The sequence below is a fragment of the Homo sapiens genome, chromosome 5 (assembly GCF_000001405.40).
Source record: "Homo sapiens chromosome 5, GRCh38.p14 Primary Assembly".
In the NCBI taxonomy this organism is placed as follows: Eukaryota; Metazoa; Chordata; class Mammalia; order Primates; family Hominidae; genus Homo; species Homo sapiens.
The window spans coordinates 157,444,982-157,460,100 of NC_000005.10; the positions used below are offsets into that span (position 1 = coordinate 157,444,982).

A 15,119-nucleotide genomic window follows, 5' to 3' on the forward strand; every position below is an offset into this window, starting at 1 on the left:
TCCTTCCTCCTCCCTTGCAGAGGAGGATGTATAGGCAAAAATAAAAATAAAAAATAAAAATACACAGCACTGGGAGTCATGAAACTCACATCTCGTTCCAGTTTTTCTACTTTTTCTCCGTCTTTAAAATGGGCATAGTACCCCAGATGATCTCTAAGGACTCTTCCTGCCCTGGCAGTTTGAGATCTTCTGCACTGGAACCATGGATGGGAACCACAGCCTGCCTTGGGGGAGATGGCAAGGGAAAGGGAACCCAAAGCCCTAAAAGGAAATTTCTAACCTTAGGGGATCCGTGAGCACGCGCAAATTACAGGCACATATATATGTATTTTGCTTTACTTCTTCAGAAAACAGTGAGTAGTAGACAGCCTCAGATTCTCAAACTTCTGCTCTAAACTGGCAACATTTAAAGAGTCTATTTGGGAACTTTGGGGAACCCAGTACTCTCCTATTGGTGAAAATGAGAGAGGATGCAGCCCTGTTTCCTGACGCTGATGTAACGAATTACCACCAAATTAACAGCAACACAAACGTATTATCTTACAATTATGGACACCAAAAGACATAAGTCTCTTAACTTAGTCACCAGACGAGAATCAATGTGTCGGCAAAGCTGGTTCTTTCTGGAGCACCAGGGAACAATTCGCTTCTCACTGTTTCTTGCTTCTAGAGGCTGTTGGCTCTTGACTGCATCACTTCCATCCCCGCTTCCGTCCTCACATGACCTTCCCTGCTGACTCCGACCCATCTGCCTTCCACTTATAAGGACCCTTGTGATTACATTGGGTCCACCTGGAAAACCCAGGGCCCTCTCCCTGTCTCAGGATTTTTAACTTAATCACGTCTACAGAATCTCTTTTACAACGTAAGGTAACAAATTTGCAGGTTTAAGGGTCAAGACATGGGTGGGGAATGTGAATATTCAGCCTACCAGAAGCGCTTTGAATAGTCATATCCTTTAACCCAGCAATTCCACTTGCAGAGTTTATCCTACAGGCTAAACTGTATAAAGAGGTAATGTCCACACAGCAGAGTTTATAATATTTAAACCTGGAAACAACCTGTTCTACTGATAATCAGTAGAAACGTAATTAAATAAGCTAGCAATATTTGTACATTAGCATATTCTAAAAAGATGCAGTATTCTAAAAATAAGTATATTCATATGTACTAATATGAAAAAGTCTCTAAGTCAGTTGCTAGGATAAAAGCAACCTGAAATAAAAGCTGTATAATGTGACTCCGTGTTGTGGTATGCATATATAATTTCTGGATGTATATCACAGAATCTGTTAATGGTGGTGACTACCTCTTGTGTGTAGGATAGCCAGGGTACTTTTATGCTTCATTTTACACCCTTCTGAACTGCAGTTTATTTTTTAACCAATTATAACATACAATTTTAAAATTTTATGATTTGGCTGGGTGCAGTGGCTCACGCCGGTAATCCCAGCACTTTGGGAGACTGAGGTGGGCATATTACTTGAGGCTAGGAGTTTGAGAACAGCCTGGCCAACATGACAAAACGCGTCTCTACTAAAAATGCAAAAATTATCTGGGCATGGTGGCACACGCCTATAAACCCAGCTCCTAGGGAGGCTGAAGCAGGAGAATCACTTGAAGCCAGGAGGCAGAGGTTGCGGTGAACCAAGATTGCGCCACTGCACTCCAGCCTGGGCCACAGAGGGAAACTGTGTCTCAAAAAAAAAAAAAAAAAAAAGTCTTGCCAAATTTCTTTTGGTCATTCTGAGGGCTGGAAATGTTCCATATCTTATCTGAATGGTAGTTACGAGGGTGTATGCATATATGAAAACCCACTGATCTCCACACTTAACATTTCTGCACTATTCTCTGTGAAGTTCTGGTTCAATAAAAAATGCGCATTCAAAAATATAGGATGTTCTCCCCCCTTTGGCCAAAAACCAAGGGTTATTGACCTGTATCCTTCTGAAATTCAGTGCAAAAGTGATGTGTGCCTCTTTCTGGGCAAGTGTTGACCCTTTTTGTCAGATTCTTAAAGGGATTTGGAGCTCCTAAAAAGTTAAAAATTACCAGTGAGGGCCTTCCCTAAAATAAAGACCACTTACTTCTGGTTTTGTTGGGGTTTGACTAAAGGTCAGACCGCTCTGTCAGAACAGGCTTTCTGGAAATGCAGACCTTGAGATAGGTAAGCACCAACGTATTTAATGGGCTGGCTACAGAATAAACAGCTACATTTTTCTTTGGGGAGCAAAATGCAGATAATTATCACCACTTAAGCTTTAGTGCAACTGTGTAAAAAGGCGCGGCTTTTTATTGGCCCAGCGCCTTTGTGTGCAACCAATCCTGAGGTGGGCGGCTGTGTCCCCGCCCTGGTGGGCGGAGCTCTTCCCAGCCCAGGGGCCTTTGCCCATCAGGCGGTTCCGCCTGGCACTGGCTGGGCGGAGGTCCTTGGTAGCAGAGGGGCAAATTAACCCTCTGCCTCACTTGACAAGCCTGAAGAAAGCTTAACCCACGCTCTGGATTCCTCTGGGGTCCCTTATCCAGGCCAGGCCCGCAAACCAGAATTTCCAGTGTGACCGTGTTGGCAGAGAGTTAATGAGCAGCCAAGGAAGCTGTGGCTGTTGCTGTTGTAGACTTGCCCCAGAGGGAAGGACAGAAGAACGCCAGGTCCTTCCTTAGCCTCTCTGCTTGGAACGAGGCAGGTGGGAAGGGTGCATCTCAGTAAGTGGAGGCTAGACATGAGATTGGAAGCCTCAAGGGAAGGGAATCGGGAAAGTGAAACCCTAACCGCATATATTGAGTTTATTTGGATGGATACCAGTCCCTGTGCCACATAAATGTTTTACATAAAAGAATGGGCTCTGAAGCCAGGCTCAGCCAATTCGTAGCTGTGTCGACTCCGGCAAGTTGCTTATCTTCTGTATTAGGATCCCCCTCCATAATATGGCATAACAGTAGTGCCACCCCCAATCTCCAGTTTAACTTCTAAGCTGGCCCCTGCCTCACCCTCTGATTTTTTTTTAAGATTGAGATATAATCCACTTACCATGAAGTTTATCCTTTTAAAGTGTACAATTCAGTGGTTTTTAGTATCTTCACAAAGTTGTGCAACGATTTCCACTAATTCCAGAACTTTTTTTTTTTTTTTTTTTGAGACAGAGTCTCACTCTGTCACCCAGGCTGGAGTGCAGTGGCGCAATCTCAGCTCACTGCAACATCCGCCTCCTGGGTTCAAGCAATTCTCCTGCCTCGGCCTCCTGAGTAGCTGGGATTACAGGCACCCGCCACCACGCCTGGCTAATTTTTTGTATTTTTAGTAGAGACGGGATTTCACTGTGTTGGCCAGGCTGGTCTTGAACTCCTACCTCGTGATCTGCCCGCCTCGGCCTCCCAAAGTGCTGGGATTACAGGTGTGAGCCACCGCATCTGGCCCAGAACACTTTTATCATTCCAAAACCAAGGGTCCCCCCCAGCAGTCACTCTCCATTCTCCACTCCCCTCATCCCCTGGGGCCATTCATTTACTTTTTGCCTTTGTTGATTTTCCTCTTCTGGAGATTTCATAGAAATGAAATCATATATGTGGCCTTCTGTGTCTGGTGTCTTCCACTTAGCATAGTGTTTTCAAGGTTCATACATGTTGTCTCCCATGTGCGTCTCAATACTTCATTGCTTTCTGTGGCTGCCATGGCACGGATGTGCCACATTTTGTTTCTTCATTCATCAGTTAATAGATATTTGGGATGTTCCCATTTTTTGGCTTTTATGAATAATGCTGCTATGAACCAACATTCATGTACAAGTTTTTGTGTGGACATAGGTTTTCATTCATTTAAGTGTATAGTAGGGTTGGATAATTTTATCTTATACTATTCTCCCCTTCTGCATCATAAGGACCTTCTTTCTGTCCCTCAAGCAAACCACGCTCACTCCCACCTCAGGGCCTTTGGCCTAGCTGTCCCCTCTGTCTGGAAGTCTATTCCCCCAGATTGCTGCATACAGTTCACTCCTTATCAGTCAGATCTCAGTTTAAATATCACCGCCTCAGTGAGGCTTTCCCAGACCATTTTATTCATTCTCTGACCCTTACCCTATTTTATTTTCTCTATATCCATTATTACACTCTGATCTTTTTTTTATTTCTTTACTTGTGTCATATCTGCCCCTTCTATTAATAGAAATGAGCTCCATGAGAGCAGGTAACTTGTCTATTATGACATTAGCTATCCCTGGCTGCTAGAACAGTGCATGGCATGTAGTAAGCATTTATTAAACATTAGCTGTTATTCATACTTCACAGCACACTTAGAAAGTAGGTACCATTATTATGCACGTGTTACAAATGAAGAAACTGAGACTCAAAGGAATTAAGTGACTTGGCCAAAATTATGCAACTGGGAAGTGTCATAGCCTGGGTTTGGTGCCAGTACTATCTGGCTCAAAAGCTGGTGCTCCTTGTACGATGCTATACTGCTTATTTCAGCTCCTTCTTCCAGACTGATCTAGCCTCAAATTGTCAGTTCCAACAAGGATTCCTCTGGGCGTCGGAGACAGGGAGAAGAAACAGAAATGTGGATATTGTCTGATCTGGCCACACCCAAGAGGCCTGGCCCTGGAACTGGTAGGGGAGGGAGGACAGGAGCTGTCACCTCCTGGGAGCTTTGGCTGGAAAACAGCCCTCTCCAGAGCTGCAAGCCAAGGCCTGGCCTCCCTCCAGCAAGGCCCTGTGAGCCCCGGCAGGCAGCAGGCGCTCTCAAACAGCAGGCCTCCGGTACCATGTATACTCAGGTGGACTTCCTTTTATGCAAAATTCCAACAGGCATACTGATAACTAACTTCATGTGTGGTGCTGTTCTAAATACTTTTCATGTATTAACTCACTGGTTCCCCAAATTAGCATCATGAGGTATGTATCATATTACCTCATGTAACTGATGAGGAGATTGAGGCCCAGGATGGTTAAGCAAACTGCTCAAGGTCACAAGGCTCAAGAATGGTGGAGGCAGGATATAAACTCACGTTATTTGACTTGAGTTTCCTTCTTTTACTTGCCACTCTACCCTGCATCTCAGCAATGGATTTGAGAATAAGTCTTCATTTACAAAAGTATTTACTACTGGATAGCTGTGCGACCTAAGCTCTAAACTCAAAGCTTTCTGGCCCTTAATTGCCTTATGTGCATAAATGGACAAGAATCAGCTTCTCTTCTATGTGTGTTCTTTAGAAAAACATGCTAATATGTATTATGGCGGGGGGCAGGGTTAAGCTAAATTAGGTGGAACTCTTTGCAGCAGGATTTATCAGTGCCTTTAATATGCTAATGTACAATGGGCCTCTTCAAGAGAGGAGCTGAGGATATAGCATTTCTCAAACTTTATTGAACACAGAACGATGTGGAATAGTATTCCATGGAACACAGATTGGTAAACACTCATTTTAGAAGTTTATTTGGGCTAGGCACAGTGGTTAATCCCTGTAATCTCAGCACTTTGGGAGGCTGAGACAGGAGGATCACTTGTGCCCAGGAGTTCAACACTAGCCTGGGCAACATAGCAAGACCCTGTCTCTTCAAAGAATTAATTTAAATAAAAAATAGCCAGGTGTAGGGGCACTCGCCTATAGTCCCAGCTACTCGGGAGGCTGAGGCAGAAGGGTCACTTGAGCCCAGGAGTTAGAGGCTGTAGTGAGCTATGATTGCCCCACTGTACTCCAGCCTGGGCAATATAGCAAGACCCAGTCTAAATATTAAAATAAAAAGAGTTGTTTGCAGGAAAAAAGTCATATTTCCTGAAATCGGAGAGAATTCTCTTCTTTCTCCCTATTTTCACCTGCTAGAAAAAAAGGAACTTATAAACAATCATCAACTCCTTCAAGCCTGCAGGAGACTTTTGGTTAATATGGAGATGAGGAAAGGGAACTCATTTGCTGAGCATTTACTATATGCCAGCTCTGTGACTAAGACTTAGATTTTTTTTCATGATTCTCAAAACAGCCCTTTGAAGGAGGTTTTATTTGAAGAAGGTAGGATAATGTTGCAGATGAAAATGTAGGCTTTGGAGTCTGATAAACATGAGTTTGCATCTTAGCTATGTTACTTGATAGCTATAGCTGTGTGAACTTGGGCAAGTTGCTTAACTGTTCTATGCTTCAGTTTTCTCCTTGGCAAAATGGATAACACAACATCTACCTAATATGGTTATCATGTGGCTTTGCTGATATAATGCATGAGAGGCACTTACATAGAATCTGCACATAGTAAGCATACAGTAAGAAGTCACTGCATTGCCGGGCGCTGTGGCTCACGCCTGTAATCCCAGCACTTTGGGAGGCCAAGGCGGGTGGATCACCTGAGGTTGGGAGTTCGAGACCAGCCTGACCAACATGGAGAAACCCCATCTCTACTAAAAACACAAAATTAGCCGGGCGTGGTGGCACAAGCCTGTACTCCCAGCTTCTCGGGAGGCTGAGGCAGGAGAATCGCTTGAACCCAGGAGGCGGAGGTCGTGGTGAGCCAAGATCATGCCATTTCACTCCAGCCTGGGCAACAACAGCAAAACTCCATCTCAACAACAACAACAACAACAACAAAAGAAGTCACTTTATTATATCATTATCCTCATCATTATTCGTGTTTTACAGATCATAGAGCAGAGACCCAGAAAGGGTAAGTAACTTACCTAACGCCACACAGCTATTGTGTGTGGCTAAATTGAGACCCCTACACAACCCCAAACCTGCTCTTTCTCTCCAGGATCCCTGAAGGAGGCTAAGCCAATTTTATCTGAACTTGCAAATAAAACCTCTCTTCCTCTCCATGCCTCACATCACATGCCACTCAGGAGTGAGTGGGAATTTCCCCTTGGAACTCAGACCCTACCACCCATGCATAAGCATTCAGACCCACTTGGCAACAGCATGCCCATGGCCTAAGGCCCTGACAAATGGGTCTGGAGAACTGAGAAAGTCCTGAACCTATAGGCAACCCTTTATGAGCCTCTCTATACAGGGAGCATTCCATAAATGCCATGGCCAGTGCACATGCTGTATGCATAAGAAGCCACATGGCCCCTGCTGTCAACCTGGGATCTTCCAAGTCCTAGCATAGGTGGGGGATGCCTCCGCGGCTGTCACAGGGGAGGGGCAGCAAAGAGACAACATGGAGGCCGAGGGGGCAAGGTTCTAGGCTCTGGGCCTGAATCAATGAAAGCAGTTGCTCTTGAAATAAGTTCATATGTTGCCCTTCCATGTAACTTTCTATTTGAAAAAAAGGCTTGCTGTCTACCCCCATATCACCAAAAAAAAAAAAAAAAAAAAAAAAGTTTTAAGCACCACTGATCTAGTTCTTCATTTCCATTGGGTATATTGGGAAGATAGGCCCAAATGGAAAGGAACTGCCACAGGTCCCAGTGTGTTAGTGACAGAACAGGGACCGGAACTGATATCTCCTGTCTGTTTTTATACCAGCCTGTCAAACAGCAGAGTCTGAGATGGTTGTTTGTTTGTTTGTTTGTTTGTTTGTTTGTTTTTAACTGAAAGGGAAAACAGAGCCTAAGTTTGTTGTTCATGTTCAAGTTAACTTTAGAATCAGTCTTCCCTCTGGCCACATTCAAAGCTCACTGTGTTCCCACCCTCCCTGTTCCCGTATACCAAATGCTGTAGGTCCACACAGGCCCAGGGGACGATCGTTAACTACAGTCCTCCTCAATCCTCCACCGGGAGATTTCTGCCCTTACGGTTGCCAGTGAGAAGCAAACGTCAGGAAACAAGGAAGACAGAGTGGCAGGTGCTTTGGGAACCTGCTTGAATCCCAGCTTAGCTACTTATTCTCTGTGTGAACCTGAGCAAGTCACTTCACCTCACAAAGTCTCACTGCCATCGGCTGTAAAATTTGGGTAACTTTATGAAGTTACCATGAAGGTATCCTAACATGGGGTTGCTGTAAGGCTCAGAGGCAATACACATAAAGAACCTGCAACATGGAAGTTGGGCAACAAGTAATAGTTCATATCAATATTATTGTTTTAACTATAGCTGGTTTTCGACAAGATCTGAAGTTCTTATACATACTTTAAGTGCATTAGGCTCTGTGCACACCCACATCAAGGCCAAGCAATGCTGCACTTCCACATACATGCGTTGACGTGAGCCCTGCCTTCTACAGTAATTTGACAGTCTTCCACCTGCAGGCAGATGTTCTGATGGGAGAATCCCATAGATGCAGTTGGATCAGCCTGAGAAGAAACTGGCTCTAGAATTAGTCTGCTGGGTTTTGTTATGGCTCCACTATTTAATAGAAGACAAGTTTCTCAACCTCCCTGAGCCTCAGTTTTCTTATCTCTAAAATGGGAATAATAGCAGTCCCTAATTCTTAGGCTTGTTTTGAGGATTAAATGGGATAATACCCGTGAAAACCTTAGTGCATTGGCTTATCTTTTAAAAGTGGCCAAAAACTATTAACTCATGACTTGTCCTAAAGTCTGTCCTTTCTTAGAAAGAAAGCAAAGAAACAGGCCAGGTGCGGTGGCTCATGCCTGTAATCCTAGCACTTTGGGAGGCCGAGGCAGGTGGATCACTTGAGGTCAGGAATTTGAGACCAGCCTGGCCAACATAGTGAAACCCTGTCTCTACTAAAAGTATAAAAATTAGCTGGGCATGGTGGCACACACCTGTAATCCCAGCTACTCTGGAGGCTGAGGTGAGAGAATTGCTTGAGCCTGGGTGTTGGAGGTTGCAGTGAGCTGAGATCACGCCACTGCACTCTAGCCTGGGTGATAGAGTGAGACCCTGTCTCCAAAAAAAGAAAAAAGAAAGAAAGCAAAGAGAGAGATAAAAGTGCTGGGTTGGGATTCCAGTGACTTTGAGTCAAGTACTGATTCTGCCACAAATTAGCTGAGTGGTGTTGGACATAACCTTGCCCCTCTCTGTATCTCAGTTTCCCCACAACTTCAAACAAAGGGGGTTGGATTAGGTGAGCCTCTTCAACTCTGACTCTGGCTAAGGGCCGACGAGAAGGTTATATAGTTGCCCCATGTTGTGTCTGGCTGGCCCCAGTCTTCCCATACAGAGGAGGGTCAGGAAGGGGACTAATCTTCAAACCAGTGGCCTCATCAAACCAGTGCCTTAGTTAAAGGAACTGCTGTGGGAATGCACAATCCCAGTTTGAAATTCTCTGTCACTGTGTGTGACCTTATGAAAGTCACTTCACGTCTCTGAGCCTCAGTTTCTTCATCTGTAGGATGGGATTTAAAGTGGTACCAGAGTAAGGAATTGTAAGAGCACATGAGGTAATATCTGCTAAGTGCTTAGCACACAGAACTCGGTAGAGTGGTGGGTTAGTAATCATTATCGATGCCAGTGGATCCCATCGTTAGGCATGGTGCTCTTCTTAGAACCAGAGCAAAAATACACTTGTCCATTCCAAGCCTTATTTCTGACGTCAGCAAAGCTATTTATGAGGACAGCAGCCATCCCAGGGACACACCTGAAAAGGGGTGGGCCAGCCTCTGCATGCTGACCATCCAGATTCCATGACTCCCTGTCAGCCTGAAGGAGGTGACAACCATCTGTCTTTCCCCACCCTACCCAGAAGACCAGCTCAGCAGGGCTGGGAAGGACTTCAGACTATATCTTGCGCGGTCCTCTTATCCAGGTTGGATGTAAGGAGAAGAGGTGAGACCTATCCAGGTCTCACTAGACCTAGGACTGCACGACAGTATGTGTAGTATTAAAAGAAGTATTTGGGTTTGATTCTTAGTTTCTCAACTTGCAGGCTAAGAGTCCTCACAGGACTTCAGTTTCCTCATCTGGAAAACAGGCTTAACAACAAAGTCTCTTACTAGGGTTGTTGCAAAGATTAAATGAAGATTAAACATAATGTGAGCCGCAGACGTAATGTCTCTCCTCTCTATTCCTGCTGTAGTGCTCTTTGACCATAGCACACTGGAAAGACGCAATGCACTGATTTCTGGATTTCCTTTCCATTGTGAAGCTGTATGGAGCAGCAGAGTTGTTCTGGAGTGCTATTGTGCCGAACTCCTATTCACCTCAATAGGGAAGGCACCAGGTTCAAGGGGCTGAAGAAGAGACCCAGAGCCAGCAAATGAGAGGTGGGGTTTGATTGGCAGCTTACATACAGGGAAGAAAGTCCAGTGGTGGTGAGCTGGACAGGAAAACCCGCCCACTGACAACAGGCTAGGACAGGTAAGGACACCACATCATCTTTACCTACAGAAAAGGTCCACTGGTGACAGGCTAGACACGATGTCCTCTTTACCTACAGTCCGGCCGCGGTGGGCTGGACAAGATAACCCAGTGGCGAAGGGCTGGGCAGGAAAACCACAACCACTTGCAAACCACATGCAGTTTATATTCCATCTTCACTTAACACCCTCCCCTTAACGACCTCCACCTGGCAACCTTCATCCAACTCAAACCTCAGGGCTTGGATCTTCTGTACAGCCCATATTCCATGGGATAGGCAAGGGGCTCAGATGTTCCTCATAGACAAGAAACGAGTCTCCAGGTTGGCTACTCCCAGATTCCCGAGCTTAGAACAGACATTCAGGTGTGTCTTCTGTACAGGCTCATTGTAAGCGTATGCTTAAGTTATTGCTACCAGGTGCATTTATCCTACAGGTGCCAGTCTGAAAACCTGACTGGGGCCCGGACTGCCTCTCTGTTGCTCTGTGACCTTCTGTTGGTCACTTTCCCTCTCTGGCACTCAGTTTCTTCCATTAACAGCACTGCCCAAAAGAAACATAACATGAGCTACATATGTAATTTTAAACAGTTTAGTAGCCACTTTATAAAGAGTGAAAAGAATAGGAAAAATAATTTAATAATGTTTTTACTTAGCCCAATGCATCCAAAATATTATCATTTTAACATGTAATCAATATTTAAAAATCATTAATGAGATTTTCCTTTTTTTTCCTTACTAAGTTTTTGAAATCTGAGTGGTTCTCAACCCAGAGTGATTTTGGCAATTGTCTGGGGGTGTTTTTGATTGTCAAAACTGGGGTGGGTGTCGGGGTGCAGGGGTGTGTGTGCCGCTGGCATCCAGAGGGTAGAGGCCAGGGGTGCTGCTAAACATTCTACGAGCACAGGACAGCCTCCAGCAACAAAGAACGATCTAGTCCAAAATGCTAACTGAGCCTGTTTTCTACTTATAGCACATCACGATTCAGATTAGCGGCTCATCAAGTTCTCAAAAGCCACATGCAGCTGGTAGCTGCCATATTGGACGGCACAGCTCTGTAACCTAAAACATCTGGACATGCACTTGGAAAAGTCAAGTTTTTAAAAACTTGGGTTTTGGTGAATTTGTTTTCCTACTCATCCCAGAATAACTGACCGAAAGAGCTGCGGCTGGGTCACCAGTCGCTGGCTGGCTAAGGGCAGAACCCATCTGTCCCTGGCTTGTTAGACCCTTCGTAAGCCACCCACCCTCCTCAGGGAGACTGAGCCTGGAACAGACAGTGAACCCTGTTGTTCTTTTCTGGGGAGACAAAGCTGCAGGCCCTGCTACCTGCCTGACAGGGCCATTGTGGCTAGAGGAGAAAAGGGCTTTGTCAGGAAGCAGCCGAGAAGACTGCAGTTCAATGGGGCCCTTTATGTCTACACTGGCAAGATGCTCTGATGCCAGCCCTGTTGAGGCCCAGCCCCCTTTTAGAACAGATGGGGAGCCTGAGGCCCAGTGAGGTTGTGAAAGTCCCTGCAGTGGATCCTAGCCTCCTTCCCCTCATGCCACTGCCCTAAAACATGAGATTCTCCTGACTCTGAAAAGGCCGGTCTTGAAGCATAGGATAAACTCAATATTGCCCTTAACCCCTGACAAGGAGGCCCCTTCCCTGACCCTAAAATTTAGAGGTTCCACAAATCACAAACACATACAAAAATAAATGCATTAAAGAACATATATGTGCATCTGTCTCTCAGGATCTGGGCTTAGCTCTGGCAACTACAATCTGAAACATCCTCTCTTGTGATTCAAAAAGGCCACTAAGAGAAGCCACTATTTAAAGTGTTCTCAACATACACGCATGTATGCACACACACGCACAATATAACTAAGTGAGGTGATAGATGTATTAATTAGCTTAATCGTCGTTATCATTCACGATGTACACCTATATCAAATCATTATGTTGTACATTTTAAATATATATAACTTTCATTTGTCAGTCATACTTCAATAAAGCGAGGAAGAAAAAAGGTCAGACCAGAGGGAAATACTCCGAATCTCTCACCCTATGTTCTTGGAATAAAAGCAGTCAAGTTTGAATGCAGTGAGGGTTTGAGGACTGTACCACTCCAGGTTCAGTGCTGACTCCGTTTTATAGCACAAGGAGGAGCTGAACAGCAGAAATGCTTAGAGAAGAGAAAGATAAGTTGAATTCTCTTGTCAAATTCTCCCTTGCAGGTAGCATGGATGCATATATTTTTTCATCATGAAGTCTCACTTCCGAATAGGGCCAATCATCTAGTGTCTTGCTGCTCTGTGTTCAAATTCATATAGTCTTGGAGGTGTTCCCCTCTACCTGAACGGTGGTACCACACACCTCCAAAGTTAGAGGCGGGCCTGGGCACACTCACCTGCAGACTTGGATATATTCTGTTGGCAATGGCTATGACTTCTGTCAACTAAAAGAAAATCAAGCTTTTAAGGAATTAAAGTTAGTTTTATTCAGAAGTCTTACTGAGGTTCTGTAATCCCAGCATTTTGGGAGGCCGGGGCAGGTGGAACACCTGAAGTCAGGAGTTTGAGATCAGCCTGGCTAACATGGTGAAACACTGTCTCTACTAAAAATACAAAAATTAGCTGGGCGTGGTGGTGGGCGCCTGTAATCCCAGCTACTCCGGAAGCTGAGGTGGGAGAATCGCTTGAACATGGGAGGCGGAGCTTGCAGTGAGCCGAGGTCGAGCCACTGCACTCCAGCCTGGGCAACAGAGTGAGACTCTGTCTCAAAAAAAAAAAAAAAAAAAAAAGCAGAAGTCTTACTGAGGACTAGAGACTGAAGACAAAGTCTGGGAGGAGTCTTTCAGAGAGGTCCTGTCCCACTGCTCTGAAACAGTGTTTTAGCTCATAGCTGATATACACGTAGCAGAAGTGCAGTATGTGCTCAAACATTACATCAAACTTGCTCAGAAGTTACAGTAAAGCAGAATCACATGAAAGTCTGGGTGCAAGAGTATATCTGGTTATAGATGATAGAGGCATAGTCACTAACCTTGTCAAACATTATCCTATGTGTAGGAATAGGCAAGGTCTAGGGTCATTTATCTTTTAAGAAATATAGTGTCTCAGGCAAAAGTTGTGGGGGCCTTGTGCTGTATCCTGCTTTGTTTTCAAAGCATTTTTCCAGAGAGGTGCACATCATTACAGAATCAAGGGCTTGTGAAATTATGCAGCAAGTAAAATGAGCAAACGTGGCTTGTTACATTTGCTGTGTCTCACATTTCCCTTTCTCTTTTAACCTCTCCCTTCCCCAACCCGATCCCGACCCCTTGGAGAAGGGGCTGTTGCATTTGACAAAGAAATTGATCCTTATGTAGAGTAAGCAACTTGTTTAAAGTCATCCAGCAAATTAGAGGAAGCCCCATGCTGGGAGAACCCATCCTTAGAGGCCCAGCTAGAGGTCCGCAAGTAGACAGTGGAGGGTCGTAGGTAGGAGGACAGGCTTGGGGTCAGAGCAGCTCGGTTTACACCTGGCACCCTCGTTCACTAGCTGTGCAACCTTGGGAGCAAGTGTCTCAGAGTATTTAAAGGACAGTTTTTTCTATTCCTATACAAGATGTTAACATTAAGGGAAGCTGGTGACAGGTATATGGGAACTCTCTATACTATTTTCGTAACTCTTCTATAAGTCTAAAATTATCTCATGATAAAATTTTTAAAAATAACAGTTTCCTCTTATCTGTAGCATGGAAAGAGTAAGGATATCTGTCTCCTAGGAGGCTTCGATGAGACAGTGCCTGGAAAGGGGTTAGCACAGTGTCTGGCCCATGCTGACGACTCCATACATAACAATTCTTAAAAGCTGCCTCCTCCAGGAAGCCGGTGAGCACCACTGGCAGAACCAATCACTGCTTTCTCAGTAGCCCCACACCCTCACTGCCCAGGAGCAGTTTATTTCAGTGTAAAATGCCAGGCGGCTTAATGTGACCACTGACAGCACGAGTTTGATCCTGGCTTTTCTGCTTCTCAGCTGAGATCCCCAGCAAGTTACTTGAGCACTTTGTGCCTCAGTTTCCTTTTGGTAAATAATAAAAGTCTGTACATTATAAGGCGGTCATGAAGATTAAATGAACTGGAATTTTTCAGCACTTAGAACTCTGCCTGGCCTATAGCAAACTCTACATACCTATTTTTATGCTCCAGGTCAGTGGTTTTCTAACTTGCTTTTTACTGTTACCCATAGTAACAAATATGCTTTCCATCACAACGTGTGTATGTGTGTGTGTGTATAAATAATTTTAAAGTGGTAATTTCAAAAACATTGGTCTCTAAGAGATGATCACATTTTGTTTCCCCCATTAAAATATAAGGTACTTGGGGGACAGGGAATAGTCTGACTCATTTTGGTCTCCAATCACTTCATTTCCTTCTTTCATTTAATTTACCAAGCTCCTATTATCTATTCATTAGACATAAATATATATTGAGCATTAACTCACTATGTACCTGTTACCTACCAGCACAGATCAGACCTGGGTTGAATCAATGAACGGGTAAGGCAAGGAAAGGAGGTCGCAGGGCAGAAGGCAGGGAGGAAGGGCAGGAGGGTGAAATGGAAGGAAGGGAGGAAAGGTGGAGGGGAGGAAGGAGAGGGGGAGGGTAGGAGGGCGAGAAGGAAGGAAAAGAAGGAACCCAGGTTCCCAATTGGCAGCAGTACCCACTTCCAACCCCTATGTTGCCACTTCCACCTCGGCAGGAAAGTTGCCCCTTCTCCAGCCATCTAGGTCCCCTGTACTCTTTCCCTGGGGATGGAGCTGGGTGCCGGTGCAGGCATCGGAGGAGCGGTGCCGGGGAACCCGCCTCCTCACCTCTTGCCCCTAGCACGGGGCGGTGACTCCAGAGCTGGGAGCCTGGCAGCGTCCTCACCCCAGGAAGGCATGCGCCCCTCTGCGGGCGGCCCC

At 45.1% G+C, this 15,119-nt stretch overlaps 1 long non-coding RNA gene across 2 annotated transcripts in view; it reads right to left on the minus strand.

The window, feature by feature from the left end:
* The window catches only part of NIPAL4-DT (NIPAL4 divergent transcript), a 97,486-nt gene extending 82,367 nt beyond the window's left edge, over positions 1 to 15,119 (minus strand). For both annotated transcript variants that reach the window (NR_136205.1, NR_136204.1), the window contains exon 1: positions 15,027 to 15,119. This is a non-coding gene — a long non-coding RNA (NIPAL4 divergent transcript). The remainder of the gene's footprint in view (positions 1 to 15,026) is intronic.